The sequence below is a fragment of the Homo sapiens genome, chromosome Y, assembly GCF_000001405.40.
Source record: "Homo sapiens chromosome Y, GRCh38.p14 Primary Assembly".
NCBI classification, from domain to species: Eukaryota; Metazoa; Chordata; class Mammalia; order Primates; family Hominidae; genus Homo; species Homo sapiens.
This window is the reverse complement of record NC_000024.10, coordinates 57,145,273-57,161,871: the sequence shown is the minus strand read 5'-3', so window position 1 is coordinate 57,161,871 and position 16,599 is coordinate 57,145,273. Positions and strand designations below refer to the sequence as shown.

At 42.1% G+C, this 16,599-nt stretch overlaps 1 pseudogene, besides 1 other annotated feature; it reads left to right on the top strand.

Annotated features, from left to right (window-relative positions):
• The first annotated feature begins 13,906 nt into the window (after positions 1-13,906).
• Positions 13,907-13,982, top strand: LOC124905309 (uncharacterized; annotated as a pseudogene).
• Positions 15,677-16,195: an enhancer, noted in NCBI's record as "NANOG hESC enhancer chrY:59291828-59292346 (GRCh37/hg19 assembly coordinates)". NCBI's record gives its function as "activates a minimal SCP1, AML or CMV promoter by ChIP-STARR-seq in primed H9 embryonic stem cells {active_cell/tissue: H9 hESC(primed)}" and the evidence as "EXISTENCE:reporter gene assay evidence [ECO:0000049][PMID:30033119]".

Below are 16,599 nucleotides of genomic sequence, written 5' to 3'. Positions count from 1 at the left end.
CAGGCAAAACGCCGACTTACTGGCCACGGCCATTAGGGGAATTCCCCTGAAAGGAGAGGGAAAGGGGGGTTCCAGGAAGAATACCCAGTCTAATGGCACACTCTTGCAACGTAACCAGTGCGCCTATTGTAAGGAAATAGGACATTGGAAAGATAATTGTTCCCAACTGAAGGAAAAGCAAGGTGATTCACAACAAAAGACCTCAGATAAAGATGAGGGAGCTTTGTTCAATCTGGCTGAAGGGCTACTGGATGGAAGGGGACCGGGCTCAAGCGCCCCCAAAGAGCCCATGGTCAGGATTACAACTGGGGGCAAGGACATTAAATTTTTGGTTGATACTGGTGCTGAACATTCAGTAGTGACCACCCCAGTCACCCCCTTATCCAAGAAAATCATTGATATAATCGGAGCAACAGGAGTTTCCACTAAGCACACTTTCTGTCTACCACAGACCTGCTCGGTGCGGGGACCTGAGATAGTTCACCAGTTCTTTTACATGCCTGACTGTCCCGTGCCCTTGCTGGGAAAAGGCTTGCTTAGCAAGCTGACAGCCAACATCTCCTTTACAAACAGGGCTCTTTACAGCTAAAGTTACCAGGAACAGGAGTTATCATGGCCCTTATGGTCCCCCAGGAAGAAGAATGGAGACTTTTTCTAACTGAGCCAGGCCAAGAGATAAAACCAGCTCTAGCTAAGCGATGGCCCCAAGTATGGGCAGAGGATAATCCTCCGGGACTGGTGGTCAACCAAGCCCCTGTACACATAGAAGTTAAGCCTGGGGCCCAACCAATTAGACAAAAGCAGTATCCAGTTCCCAGAGAAGCTCTCAAAGGAATCCAGGTTCATCTCAGGCGCTTGAAAGCGTTTGGAATTATAGTTCCTTGCCAGTCTCCATGGGAACACCCCCTCCTCCCTGGTCCCTAAGCCAAGGGACCAAGGACTATCGATCGTACAGGACTTGCGCTTGGTCAACCAAGCTACAGTGACTCTGCACCCAACAGTTCCTAACCCTTACACATTGTTAGGGCTGCTGCCGGCTGAGGACAGCTGGTTTACCTGTCTGGACTTAAAAGATGCCATCTTTAGCATCAAAATAGCTCCTGAGAGCCAGAAGCTGTTTGCCTTTCAGTGGGAAGATCCGGAGTCAGGTGTCACTACTCAGTACACTTGGACCTGGCTTCCCCAAGGGTTCAAGATCTCCCCTACTATCTTTGGGGAGGCCCTGGCTTAAGACCTGCAAAAGTTTCCTGCTAAAGACCTAGGCTGTGTCTTGCTCCTGTATGTGGACTACCTTCTGCTGGGACACTCCATGGCAGTTGGGTGTGCAAAAGGGACGGATGCCCTGCTTCAGCACCTGGAGGACTGTGGGTATAAGGTGTCCAAGAAGAAAGCTCAGATCTGCAGACAGCAGGTAAGCTACCTGGGATTTACTGTTCAGAAAGGGGAGTGCAGCCTGGGGTCAGAAAGAAAGCAGGTCATCTGCAGCCTACTGGAACCTAAAACCAGAAGGCAAGTAAGGGAATTCCTAGGAGCTGTGGGGTTTTGCAGATTATGGATTCCAAACTTTGCAGTACTAGCCAAACCTTTCTACAGGGTTACAAATGGGGGCGACCGGGAGCCTTTTGAATGGGGGCCTCTACAACAGCAAGCCTTTTGTAAGTTAAAGGAAAAACTTATGTCGGCCCCAGTCCTAGGACTACCAGATTTGACAAAGCCCTTTACACTCTATGTGTCAGAAAGAGAAAAAATGGCAGTTGGAGTTTTAACCCAGACTGTGGGGCCCCAGCCAAGGCCAGTGGCCTATCTCTCAAAACAACTAGATGAGGTTTCCAAAGTCTGGCCACCATGTCTAAGGGCCCTGGCAGCAACAGCCCTGTGAGCACAAGAAGCAGATAAACTAACCCTTGGGCAAAACCTGAATATAAAGGCCCTCCATGCTGTGGTAACTTTGATGAATAGCAAAGGACATCATTGGCTAACAAATGCTAGATTAACCAAGTACCAAAGCTTGCTATGTGAAAATCCCCGCATAACCATTGAAGTCCGTAACACCCTAAATCCCGCCACCCTGCTCCCAGTATCAGAGAGCCCGGTCAAGCATAACTGTGTAGAAGTGTTGGACTCAGTTTATCCTAGCAGACCTGACCTTCGGGACCAGCCATGGGCATCAGCAGACTGGGAGTTATACATGGACGGGAGCAACTTCACAATCCACATGGAGAAAGATGTGCAGGATATGCGGTGGTAACTTTGGATGCTGTCCATTGAAGCCAAACCATTGCCACAGGCACTTCAGCCCAGAAGGCTGAGCTCATTGCTTTAACTCGGGCTCTAGAACTCAGTGAAGGTAAGACTGTAAACATCTACACTGACTCTTGATATGCCTTTCTAATCCTTCAAGTGCATGGAGCATTATATAAGTAAAAGGGCCTGTTAAACTCTAGGGGAAAGGACATAAAATATCAACAAGAAGTTCTACAATTATTAGAGGCAGTGTGGAAACCTCAGAAGGTGGCAGTCATGCACTGCAGGGGACACCAGCGAGCTTCCACCTCAGTGGCCTTAGGAAACTCTCGAGCTGACTCAGAAGCTTGAAAAGCAGCATCTACCCCTTACTGGGCATCGGTAGCAACCCCCTTACTCCCTCAAACACCTGACCTGGTACCTACCTATTCTAAGGAAGAAAGACTTCTTCCACTCAGAAAGGGGGCAAGTAAAAAAAAGGAGGATGGATCAGACTGCCAGATGGGAGGGTAGCTGTGCCTCAGTTGCTGGGAGCCACAATCGTATTGGCCATGCATGAAACCACTCATCTAGCACAAGAGTCACTTGAAAAATTGTTAGGGCAGTACTTCTACGTCTCACACTTGCCAGCCCTTGCCAAAGCAGTAGCACAATGGTGCGTTACTTGCCCACAGCACATTGATAGGCAAGGCCCCACTGTTCCGCCCGGCATACAAGCTTATGGAGTGGCTCCTTTTGAGGATCTTCAGGTGGAGTTCACAGAAATGCCAAAATGTGGAGGTAACAAGTATTTGCTGGTTCTTGTGTGTACTTACTCTGGGTGGGTGGAGGCTTATCCAACACGAACTGAAAAGGCCTACGAGGTAACCCGTGTGCTTCTCTGAGATCTTATTCCTAGGTTTGGACTGCCCTTATGAATCGGCTCAGATAATGGGCCAGCATTTGTGGCTGACTTGGTACAGAAGACAGCAAAGGCATTAGGAATCACTTGGAAGCTACATGCCGCCTACTGACCTCAAAGTTCCGGAAAGGTGGAGCGAATGAATTATACTATCAAAAATAGGGAAAGTATGTCAGGAAACAGGATTAAAGTGCATACAGGCCCTTCCTATGGTATTGTTTAAAATTAGATGCACTCCTTCTAAGAAAACAGGATACTCCCCTTATGATATACTGTATCATAGGCCTCCTCCTATATTATGGGAGCTTCCAGGCACTCCCTGAGAGTTAGGTGGAATTGAATTACAGCGACAGCTACAGGCTTTAGGAAAAATTACACAAACAATCTCAACTTGGGTAAATGAGAGGTGTCCCATCAGCTTATTCGCCCCAATTCATACTTTCTCCCCAGGTGGTCTTGTGTGGATAAAGGACTGGAACGTAGCCCCTTTGCGGCCACGGTGGAAAGGACCTCAGACCATCTTCCTGACCACCTCCATGGCTGTAAAGGTAGAAGGAATCCCAGCCTGGATCCACCACAGCCGTGTGAAACCTGCAGCCACTGAAACCTGGGAGGCAAAACCGAGCCCAGACAAACCCTGCAAAGTGACTCTGAGGAGGACAACAAGCCCTGTTCCAGTCACACCCGGAAGCTGACTGGTCTACGTGGCTGAAGCATGAGGAAGATCATCATGGGACTCATTTTCCTTATAATTTGGACTTGTATAGTAAAAATTTCCACTGATTTTCTCCACATGGAGACTGCTCTCAGTGTATACATGAGGTTACCGAGGTAGGGCAGCAAGTTAAAACAATCTTTCTGTTCTATAGTTACTATGAATGCCTAGGAACTTTAAAAGGAACATGTTTATATAATGACACTCAGTACAAGGTATGTAGCCCAGAAAACGACTGACCAGATGTGTGTTATGACCCCTCTGAGCTTCCCATGTGGACAGTTTTTGAAATAAGATTAAGGACTGAAGACTGGTGGGGACTCATAAATGATACTAGTAAAGTATTAGCCAGAACAGAAGAAAAAGGGGTGCCCAAACACATAATCTTGAAATTTGATGCCTGTGCTGTCATTAATAGCAATAAGTTAGGAAGGGGATGCGGCTTTTTTAGTTAGGAAAAAGGTGATATTACTGAAAATAAGTACATTTGTCATGAATTAAGACTGTGTAGAAATGAATGTGGATGCTCGTCTTGTGTCATTTGGGCCACTTAGATAAAAAATGAAAAGGATCCAGTCCACCTTCAGAAAGGAAAAAATGGCCCTTCCTGTACTAAGGGACATTGTAACCCCTTAGAGCTAGTAATAACCAACCCCCTTGATCCTCACTGGAAAAAAGGGGAGCGTGTGACCTTAGAAATCGATGGGGCCAGACTGGATCCTTGAGTAAATATCTTAGTTCGAGGAGAAGTTTACAGACGCTCTCCTGAGCCAGTGTTTCCAACTTTCTATGATGAATTAAATGTGCCAGTACCAGAAATTCCAGGAAAAACAAGAAATTTGTTTTTGCAATTAGCCGAGCATGTAGCCCAGTCTCTCAATGTCACTTCATGTTATGTATGTGGAGGAACTGTAATGGGAGATCAATGGCCATGAGAAGCCCGAGAATTAGTAGCTACAGACGAGTTCCTGATGAATTCCTGGCTGAAAAGAATCACCCTGATAATTTCTGCGTCCTAAAAGCCTCAATTATTGGACAATATTGCATAGCTAGAGAAAGAAAAGAATTCACTCACCCCGTAGGGCTACTTAGTTGTCTAGGACAGAAACTGTATAATGGTACCACAAAAACAGTCACTTGGTGCAGTTCAAATCACACAGAAAGGAATCCATTTAGTAAATTCCCAAAGTTGCAAAATGGGTGGACTCACCTGGAGTCCCACCGGGAGTGGACAGCCCCCACTGGATTATACTGGATATGGGAGCATAGAGTTACGCCAAATTACCCGACCAGTGGGCAGGTAGTTGTGTTATTGGCACTATTAGACCATCTTTCTTCCCACTGCCCACAAAAACAGGTGAACTCCTGGGCTTCCCTGTGTATGCTTCCTGCAAAAAGAGAAGCATAGCTATAAGAAATTGGAAAGATGATGAATGGCCCCCTGAGAGAATCATACAATATTATGGGCCTGCTACTTAGGCACAAGACAGCTCATGGGGATACTGGACCCCCATTTACATGATCAACTGAATCACACGGTTACAAGCTGTCTTAGAAATAATCACTAATAAAACAGGCAGAGCCTTGACTATACTGGCCCAGCAAGAAACTCAGATGAGAAATGCTATCTATCAAAATAGATTGGCTCTCGACTACTTGCTAGCAGCTGAAGGAGGGGTGTGTGGGAAATTTAACCTTACTAATTGCTGTCTACACATAGATGATCAAGGGCAAGTAGTGGAAGACATAGTTAGAGATATGACAAAACTGGCACATGTGCCCGTGCAAGTGTGGCATGGATTTGATCCTGCAGCCATGTTTGGAAAATGGTTCCCAGCGCTAGAAGGATTTAAACCTCTTATAATAAGAGTTATAATAGTAATAGGAACCTGCTTACTGCTCCCTTGTTTGCTACCTGTACTTCTTCAAATGATACAAAGCTTCATTGCTACCTTAGTTCACCAAAATGCTTCAGCACAAGTGTACTATATGAATCACTATTGATCTGTCTTGCAAGAAGACATGGGTAAGGAGAATAAAAGTGAGAACTCCCACTGTTGAGTGAGATTCTCAAAGTGGGGGGGGAATAAGGGAGGAGACCACCCCTCATATTGTCTTATGCCCAATTTCTGTATCAAAAGAAAGAAGAAGTAAAAACTAAAAGGCAGAAATAAAATCCACAAGCAGACAGCCCGGCACCACACCCTGGACCTGGTAGTTAAAGATCGACCCCTAACCTAATTGGTTATGTTATCTATAGATTACAGACATTGTATAGAAAAGCATTGTGAAAATCCCTGTCCTGTTTTGTTCTGATCTAATTACCAGTGCATGCAGCCCCCAGTCACCTATCCCTGCTTGCTCAATTGATCACGACCCTCTCATGTGCACCCCCTTAGAGTTGTGAGCCCTTAAAAGGGACAGGAATTGCTCACTTGGGGAGCTCAGCTCTTGAGGCAAGAGTCTTGCCAATGCTCCCGACCAAATAAACCACTTCCTTCTTTAAGTCGGTGTCTGAGGGGTTTTGTCTGTGGCTTGTCATACTACAACAGAATTAGCCGGACAAAGTCTTAGAAAATTTGATAAGGTTGGGGGCGCTGGGTGCATGGGTTAAGAGAACATGCATAAAATTCCTGAGACACCCACAAGCCTGCTATGTCCCTGTAATTGAAAGCAAATTGGACTGCAGGTAATTGGGGCTGACTGAATGGGAGAGGGGAGCAGGCAGGAGCACTCATGGGCCAGTAGACCATGAAAAGCCATATGGACCTTGTTCTAAGGCCAGTGGAAACCCATTAGGAACATTAAATCAGGAGAGTGACAGGATGAGATTTATGTGTGTATTTTGCCATTATCAAGTTGAGATCACCTGTGGTGGGTGGGTGGCTCTGTGTTCCTCCTGGTGGGCTGTACTGAGGAGTGCAGTGTTTGCAACTGCTCAGGAGGAAACAGGGGGCAGAAGTGAGAGAGGAGAAAGGAAAAAACCCGGTCAGGCAGCAGTTAGGGTGGGTGCTCAGATGAATCCTTTCAAACAAAAGAACAGCCTGCAGGCACAGATAAGGAACATGCACAAGGGGACTTGCCTAAGACATGGCTACAGCACACCAGATAAGAAAAGCTACACAGGTGACTTGCCCAGACATGCCCACAATGGAAAATTCTGTCCCCTGACACATGCACAGTAAGGGGGAACAAAGCAATTAGGTAGTGAACTCAAGATAAGAGCCCGCATGTGCACTAGAAAGATGGGGTGGCGCCACCAGAAATTCATGCCTTATGCAAATGAGATACCAAGACCTCATCTGTTTCTTATAAAAGCCTTTGCATTCAACTGTAAAAACAGCAACCCTCTTCTGGGTCCCCTCTCCGTAGTGGAGAGCTTTCATCTTTGGCTTATTAAACTTTCACTCCAACCTCACCCTTTGTGTCTGCACTCCTTAACTTTCTTGGTCATGAGACAAAGAACTCCAGGTACTACCTCAGGCAAAGAGAAACTTCTATGTTGTGGTGCATTGGCAAAACTATGACAGAGGCAGCTTGGATTCATCTCTATTATTTAAATCTGCCAAGGTTGTGAAACTGAGAGATAGTCACAGGAACAGTTCCAGGAAAAGAAAACTGGATCCAAAGGGAAAGAGACATTTTTCTCACAGTCAGCACAGGCAGTAAAGTGAACTGGGTCAGCTGATTGGATTGTCAGGTAGAAACCATATTGATTTCCTGATTTGGAGGTTATGTGGTGGTTACCTGGGAGAGTGTCCCTGCTTTGAGTAAAATACAGTAGAGTATTTTGTGTGAAGTTGCAAATCTGGTACTGGAGTGACCACTGGGGAATCTGAGAGAAAGGATAAAAGGTATTTTGTACTGCCATTGCATGTTTCCTATAAGTATGAATTTACTGGAAAGTAAATTACTTTATAAAACAACCATATCAATACCATACCAGGAAAGTAGAGATGACATCAAACTTCATTATAGAGGCTCCATTTCAGCCAAAGCTGTGAAACCAATAATTCTCAAAAGAGTGTGAATTTCATTAGTGGCCACTGTGTGGACATGATTCCATCAGTAGTAGGGGCCACTGAGTGGATACTAACTACTAGAGGCCATTGTGTGAATATATATTGTAGCCACTATGTCTTGGATGTTGAGAATGATCTCAGGGTGCAATGGCAACAGTGGGATTTTGGGGTTATATTTTTCTACATGAACCCTTCCTGTGCAGAATCCTCTGAATCAGAATCTCCGCTACACTCCGAGTTGTGGACAGAAGCTTTTAATTCACCACTGAACAGTATCAAGTTTAGATCTCCATCCTGGAGCCTTGAGGAAAATGAAGTTCTTGTCTCCCTGCTCCCACCATCTGAGGGGAGATGGTCAGAAGAGGCGGGTTCACATGCCATCTGGTGGCTGTCAGGACTCAGCACAGGACGCTCTTGCTCACAGTTTATCGGTGGACGTGTGCCCCCTCTTGGCTCTCTTGAAAAATCAATACAATTCAGCATTCATTTACTCAGTGCGATTATTTTGGAAATTCACTATCCCGTGTATTTTTCAAAAATAGTGATGGAACAATTATTTAGAAACCATATGGAATGAAAATAATGTACATGCAAACTAAAATTATGCAAAAATTCACTCACAATCATCCATAGGCTGAAATTTGAAATGCAAAACTATAAACATTCTAGAAGAAAGCCTGTGCAACCTTGGATTTGGTGCTGAGGTTTAACACATAATACCAAAAGCCACATCACAAAAGAAAAAATACTGATAACACAGACTTTATAAAACTAAATTTTCAACTCTGAGAAAGAGCCTATTCAGAGAACAAAGACAAGACACAGACTGGGAGAAAGTATTTACAAAATACATATCTGGTAAAAACAATTGTATTAAAAATATAAAAAGATGTTGGGTGGGGTGGCTCATGCCTGCAATCCCAGTTACTTGGGAGGCTGAGGCAAGAGGATGGCTTGAAGCTAGTAGTTTGAGACCAGTCCGAGCAATATAACAAGACACTGTCTCTAAAAATAATGATAACACAAAAAGAACTCTTAAAAAGAAGCAATAAGATAACTAAAAACCCAATTAAAATGAGTAAATAGCTAAATGGACACCTGACCAAATAAAATATAAAGATAGCAAATAATCATACAAAAGGGTGCTCAACATATCATTAGGAAATTGTAAATTAAAACAACAATGAGATAGCTGCACACCCTTTAGAACTGCTGAACTCTAAAAGAGCCCTGATAAACCACTTGCTGGAGGCTGAAGAACAATAGGAGCTGTCATTCATTGGCTGGTAGAACGCATAATGGTACAGTCACTTCAGAAGACACTTTCGCGTTTTTTTTTCCAAAGCTGAACAACTCTCACCTTATAATCTGACAATTGCACTCCTAAATTGCCTGTATTTAGACAACTGCTTTGAAAAGTTATGTTCAAACATATACCAGCATGTAATTATGTACAGCAGTTCTATTCATAATGGTCAAAATGTAATCAGAATTTCCTTCAATAGCTGAATGCATGATCAAATTGGGGTGCATCTATGCAATGGAGTACCATTCATAAATAGAAAGGAATAAACTATCTACGCATGCGAAGACATGGGTAAATCTTGCATGTATACTGCTAAGTGAAGGAAGCCAGTCTGAAGAGGCTACCCACCATTTCACCCCATTTTATATCATATTTTGGGAAAGGCAAAATTACAGAGATAAACGAATCAGTGGTTACATAGGGTGGGTATTTGAAGGTACTTCAATGGTGGATACCTGACACTATGCATTTTATAAAACTGATATAGTTTTACAGCCCAAAGAATAAATCACAAGCTATACAAATTAAATCAAACATTTAGGGTGCAGTAGTATCCAAGGATAAAATATAGAATGGGATCAGGAATCTAACTGTATTACAAATTTATGGAAAAACTCACTGCAGGTGATGGGCAGAAAGTGCTAACCTAAGTCACTTTGGAAATGAGTAGAATCTATAGTCTAAAAGCAGAATATACTGAATATAAATAGTGGTCTCTATTTTATAAAGTTCTCTCCCCCAGGGGTAATAGTCAATTTTGAAACCAGTATATCTGTAAAAAGAAAAAAAAACCTGTTTTTCATCTATACTCTCAATACTTCACTTCTGACACCAAATATATGAGGGATTTTCCCATATCAACCAATTCTCCAACTTTCTGGACACCAGCTGGGTGTTATATAGTTCAATTATGACATGAACTAACTGGAGTTATTACATACCTAATAGTTTAAGGGCTCAGTAACACCAGACTGCCCCCCCCACTTCAGATGCCAATCACAACTAGTAAATCCCCAGTTTACTCATACTTCTGTATGACTTAGCTGCAAATTGAACAGTCCCACACCTCCTCCTCAGGATTGATAATTTGCTATGATGGCTCATAGAACTCAGGGAAACATTTACTTATGTTTACTGGTTAATATGATCTCAATGTTGGTGTCCCCCCAAAATTCATATGTTGAAACCTAACCTCCAAGAGGATGGTTTAAACAGGTAATTCATTGTCAAGTGTTGTGGGAAGTCAGAGACCCCAAACAGAGGGACTGGCTGGAGCTGTGGCAGAGGAACATAAATTGTGAAGATTTCATGGACATTTATCAGTTCCCAAATAATGCTTTTATAATTTCTTATGCCTGTCTTTACTTTAATCTCTTAATCCTGTTATCTTCATAAGCTGAGGATGTATGTCACCTCAGGACCACTGTGATAATTGTGTTGACTGTATAAATTGATTGTAAAACATGTGTGTTTTAATGATATGAAATCAGTGCACCTTGAAAAAGAACAGAATAACAGCGATTTTTAGGGAACAAGGGAAGACAACCATAAGGTCTGACTGCCTGCAGGGTCAGGCAAAAAGAGCCATATTTTTCTTCTTGCAGAGAGCCTATAAATGGACGCGTCAAGTAGGAGAGATACCACTAAATTCTTTTCCTAGCAAGGAATATTAATATCAATACCCTGGGAAAGGAATGCATTCCTGGGGGGAGGTCTATAAATGGCCGCTCTGGGAATGTATGTCTTATGCAGTTGAGATAAGGACTGAGATACACCCTGGTTTCCTGCAGTACCCTCAGGCTTACTAGGGTGGGGAGAAACTTCACCCTGGTAAATTTGTGGTCAGACCGGTTCTCTGCTCTTGAACCCTGTTTTCTGTTATTTAAGATGTTTATCAAGACAATATGTGCACTGCTGAACATAGACCCTTATTAGTAGTTCTGCTTTTGCCCTTTGTCCTGTTCCCTCAGAAGCATGTGATCTTTGTTAGACCCTTACTAGCAGCACTGCTTTTTGCCTTTTGAAGCATGTGATCTTTGTACCTACTCCCTGTTCTTACACTCCCTCCCTTTCTGAAACCCTTAATAAAAACTTGCTGGTCTGAGACTTAGGTGGACATCATGGTCCTACTGATATGTGATGTCACCCCCGGCAGCCCAGCTGTAAAATTCCTCTCTTTGTACTGTCTGTCTTTATTTCTCAGCCGGCCGACACTTATGAAAGACAGAAAGAACCTACACTGAAATACTGGGGACAGATTTCCCCAATAATCAAGGCTCTGCCCTCATGAATGGCACAAGTGCCCTTATAAAAGAGTCTGTAGGGAGCCTGTTTCTCTATTCTGCCATGTGAGGACATGGCTAGAAGGTACTATCTCTGAGAGACGAGCCCTCACCAGACATGGAATCTTCCAGTGCCTTGATCTTGGACTTTCCAGGCTCCAGAATTATATGCAACAAATTTATGTTGTTTAAAAGTTACCCAGTCTATGGTATTTTTTTATAGCAACCTGAAAGGACTAAGACCCCAGTTCATTATAAAGGACATGGTAAAGAAAACACATGAACAGCCAGATAAGGGGGTACACAAAGCAAAGTTTGGAAGTGCGGAAGCTCTGTCCTCATGGAGTTGGGGTTTGCCATGCTCCCTGCACATGGATGTATTTAACAATTTAGAAACTCTTTAAACCCTATCTTTTAGGATTTTTTAAGAGACAAAGTCTCGCTCTATCCCAAGCCTGGAGTGCAGGGGTACAATTATAGCTTACTGCAACCTTGAACTCCCGCCCTCAAGCAATCCTTCTGCCTTAGTTTCCCAAGTAGCTAGGACTACGTGCACACACTACCACACCCAACTCTCTTATTTTCTGTAGAGATGGAGTCTCACTGTGTTGCCTAGGCAGGCCTCAAATTCCTGGCCTGAAGTGATCCTCCCACCTCTTTCAGGGATTTTTATGGAGGCTTTATCACATAGGCATGATTGATTATTAACTCAATCTCCAGCCCCCTTTCCCCTCAGAGGATAGGATATGAAGCTGAAAGTTACAAGCTTCTAATCATGGCTTGGTATTTCTGGTGACCACGCCCCATCCTGAAGCCATCCAGGAGCAGAGCAAAAGACATTCCTATTACCTGAGAGATTTTTAAGGCATTTGGAAACTCTGTGTCAGAAACCAGGGTCAAAGACCAAATATGAGAACAAAAAATGCTCCTAGCACCCCTATCACTCAAGAAATTGTAAGGGTTTTGGGAGCTCTGTACCAGGAAATAGAGACAGAGACCAAACATATATTTATTATTAAATCACAACTTATAATTTGAATCAACAACAATAAATTCGGTGTTTATACTGGAACAAGGGATTAAATAAATGGCAGATGGTAGAAGCTAATTCCTTGCTGTCAGAGTGAGAATTTACAGACAAGAAAGGCAGGGGAGGCTAGAATAATTCTTGTGATAATGGATCAGAGTCCATTGATTGGAGATATCAGTATAAACTCACATGTAGCTTAATATATACACAGATGGATCCACATAGAAATCTTTATAATTAGGCATGTATATGTAGGTTAGAACACACACATATATATTTCCTTGCATTGTCAGCTGTGAGGGACAAGATGCAATGAGCATATTTAGCTGCCAGATATAAGTTTTTAAAACCATTCTCTAATAAGGGAAATCAGTGCTCTTGGAAGAAATAGCTAAACTAGGGCTGAGACAGTAAATATATGAGCCAGGATACTCTTGAAGTGTCAGAAAGAAATTGTTAAAACAAAACAAAACAAAACATGCAGTTATGTCAAAGGAAAACAGGAGCCAATAGAAAGATCTCCCAATGGCCACAGGTAGGAAATCAAAGCAACAAAATACTGTACAATTGGATAATAACCAAAAGATTGAAGTAACTGTCTGGTTGTCCATACTGGTCTAAATAAATGATTAAATAAATATGCAAATTGGCCAAATAGAAATATCTTATACAGAAGAATTCCAAATACCTAATGTAGATACTCAGCCATCAAGGAAGTAGAGCTAACTCCCTACTCCTTAAGTGTGGGCTCTGCATGCTTATTTCCTCCAAAAGAATACATACAGTATGGACATGGGGAAAAAGTAACTTCACAGTGAGAAACCTAAAAACACTACCTCAGCCAGGTGATCAAAATTAACATTAATGGTGATAATGCATCTTGAGAGCATGAAGAGACTAGAATAGCACTACACATCTGATCTGCTTCCCCCAAACCCGTAACCCCAGTATAATTATGAGAAAAATACCAAGTAAACCACAATGAGATATTTTCTACACAATACCTGACCAGTCTTTCTTACACTGTCAAGGCTATCAGAAGGAAAGTCTGAGAAACAATCATAGGCAAGAAGAGCCTGACATGACAACTAAATGTCCTGTAGGATCTGAGATGGGATCCCAGAATAGAAAAAGATAGAACTGAGGGAAACCAAATAAAACGTGGGCTTATTTAGTAATAACATATTAATATCTGGTCATTAATGGTAACAAATGATGTAAGATGTTAAGAAGACATCTGATACATACTAATATGTTAATAAGAGGGAAAACTAGGTTGCAGCTACAGGGGAAATCTGCATTCTTCTTTCTAATTTCTGTGTGAATCTAAAACTAATTTAAAATAATAACTTTATTCAAAACGTAATTTTTTTCAAACATCTGCTTATTTATTTGTACTAATAATTAAGACTATACTTTCAGGGATTATTTCTATAGTTTGTTAATTATTTGTACTAATAGTAGTAATTGACACTAACTAGTCCTACATTTAAAAAATAAGAACATTCATGATGCTGTGAAGTATATAATGCAGACTAATAAATAATTCCAAATAAGTGCCTCTTTTGCATGTTTTATGTTAAAATAACATACTCGTGTAAACTTATTAATCATATTTTTTACTTGTGGTGTGGTTCTGTCCTGGGTTCACTCTCTAGAAATCTGGTCACCTTAGACCAGGGAAAAAATCACATTTTAGAGACTATTTCAATTCATTGCTGAACATTTTCAAAAGTACAACTTTAAAAAATAAAAAAGGGCCAGGCACGGTGGCTCACACCTGTAATCCCAGCACTTTGGGATGCCAAGGCAGGTGGATCACGAGGTCAGGAGTTTGAGACCAGCCTGGCCAACATGGTGAAACCTGGTCTCTACTAAAAATACAAAAATTAGCTGGGTGTGGTGGCAGGCACCTGTAATCCCAGTTACTCAGGAGGCTGAGGCAGAATTGCTTGAACCCAAGAGGCGGAGGTTGCAGTCAGCCGAGATCGCGCCACTGCACTCGAGCCTGGGTGACAGAGCAAGACTCCATCTCAGAAAAAAAAAAAAGGTCCAAATGACAAATTGATTTATTGTGACTGGATCACTTATTGTAATGAATCTTTGTCTTTGTTTCCAAGCATTCCTTTTAACAGTAATACAACAGAAACAAATATTTGTCACTGCAAAAAATATTCAGAGAAAGGAAGAATATGAACAGATTTTGTGACCACGATCATTCGGTGTCTCCTTGTGATGCTTTCTAAAACAGAAGAGTTTAAAGGGATATTCAAAGTCAATTTTAGAGAAATTGATGAAATTAGATAAACAAAAGTGGCAGGACATTCTATGAGTGATTTTAGATATTGCTATGTCTTGAGGAAAAATGTAATATACCTTTTAGAGGATCACAAAGGATTATTGGAAGCCCAGACTCTGGAATGTTTCCAAATTCAGTTGAAATTATGTCAATATAGGTAATAATGAAGGTAATGATAAAATGGGATCTGTGCCTTATTTGTGTAATAAAATCCACAGAGTATTTAATGCTCCTAGGAAAACATGTTAGACTTGAAATACAGTTAATAATATCAAAAGCAAAATACACTTCTGTAAACCAAAAATAAAATTCTAAGGCTCCCAACCTTCTAAATGGACTTCCTCCTCAGCCAAGGCTCTCTAAAATTTAATCTGAGAGACTGTTTCAGGCCAAGACGGGAAGTGAGGGTCAGACATGCCTCATTATACCTCTTTGGAATTAACATCAACACAGACTTTAAGTATGATAAGAAACATTTTAAAACGTATTCTCTGTGAAGCCTACTGCCTGAAGACTTCCTCTGCAAATAAGAACTTGGGTCTCTAAAATCCTTTATCTTAACCCAGACATTCCTTTCTATTGATCCCAGGTCTCTAGATAAATTCAACCAATGGTCAACCAGAAAAATTTTAAATCTACCTGTAAGCTGGAAGCCCCCCATTTCGAGTTGTCCCAGCTTTATAGATCAAGCCAATGTATTTCTTAAATGTATGTGATTGAAGTGCCATGTCTCCCTAAAATGTATAATAACAAGGCGTACCCTGACCACCTTGGTACATGTTCTCAGGACCTCCTAAGGGCTGTGTCCTAACCATAGTCACTCATATTTGGCTCAGAATAAATCTCTTCAAATGTTTTACAGAGTTTGACTGTTTTCATTGACACTTCCTTACATTTGATTGTACAACAGAAGTAGCTCATCAGGAACAAATGTACCATATTGAAGTATGTTCATATTGTTGACCTAAAGGAAGAAGCTGAGGCACAAAATAGAATTTTACAGTTTACTTGAGCTAAGATGAGGACAGCTGCCCAGAAGACTCAGACCTAAATATCTGTAGATATGAGCTCCATTCAACTTCTGTTACAAGCAGGTTTTTTAATTTGGCAGCCAGCACCAGGGCACCAGGGAGAGAGAATCTCCTGATGATCCACAGCTGTTAACATTGAAGTGTTAATTGAATGCAAATGACAGGGAGAAGAAACTTCCTGGGCATGTGCTTAAGAGACAAAATGGTGAAGTATGACCTTCTGGGGACACTCCACCAGAAAAGAGAGGAAAGCCTCAGATGGGCACGCGTACAAGCTTCCTAAAAAGACGGCAAGTGCTCAGTTCCCAAGGGTAAGGAGGGCACTGTGCATGCGGGCAGCCCACCCTAAGGGAAAAATCATGGGAAAGAGGTGAGCCTATAAAGTCCTAGGATCAAAGTTAAATGCTGTCTTTGACCTTCAGATGCCTACTTGGGTCTCTTTCAAAGCGAATTTTCCTTCCTTTCCTGTTCTATAAGCCTTTTTAAAATAAACTTACACTCTTCTTCTAAAACTCGCCTTGGTCTCTTCTTCCACTTTATGTCCCTCAGTCGAATTCTTTCTCCTAAGGAGGCAAGAACTGAAGTTGCTGCAGACACATATGGATTCACTGTTAGTAACTCAGGGTAACTTGGATACCTGCCACTGGTAACAATAATGGAATAAAGTTTTCTTGACTTTACTGAAACGATGTGTTGATGAGAGGAGGTGCCAGCTGGGCTTCCTGGGTCTAGCAGGGGCTCAGAAAGCTATGAAACTCATTTTCTGCAA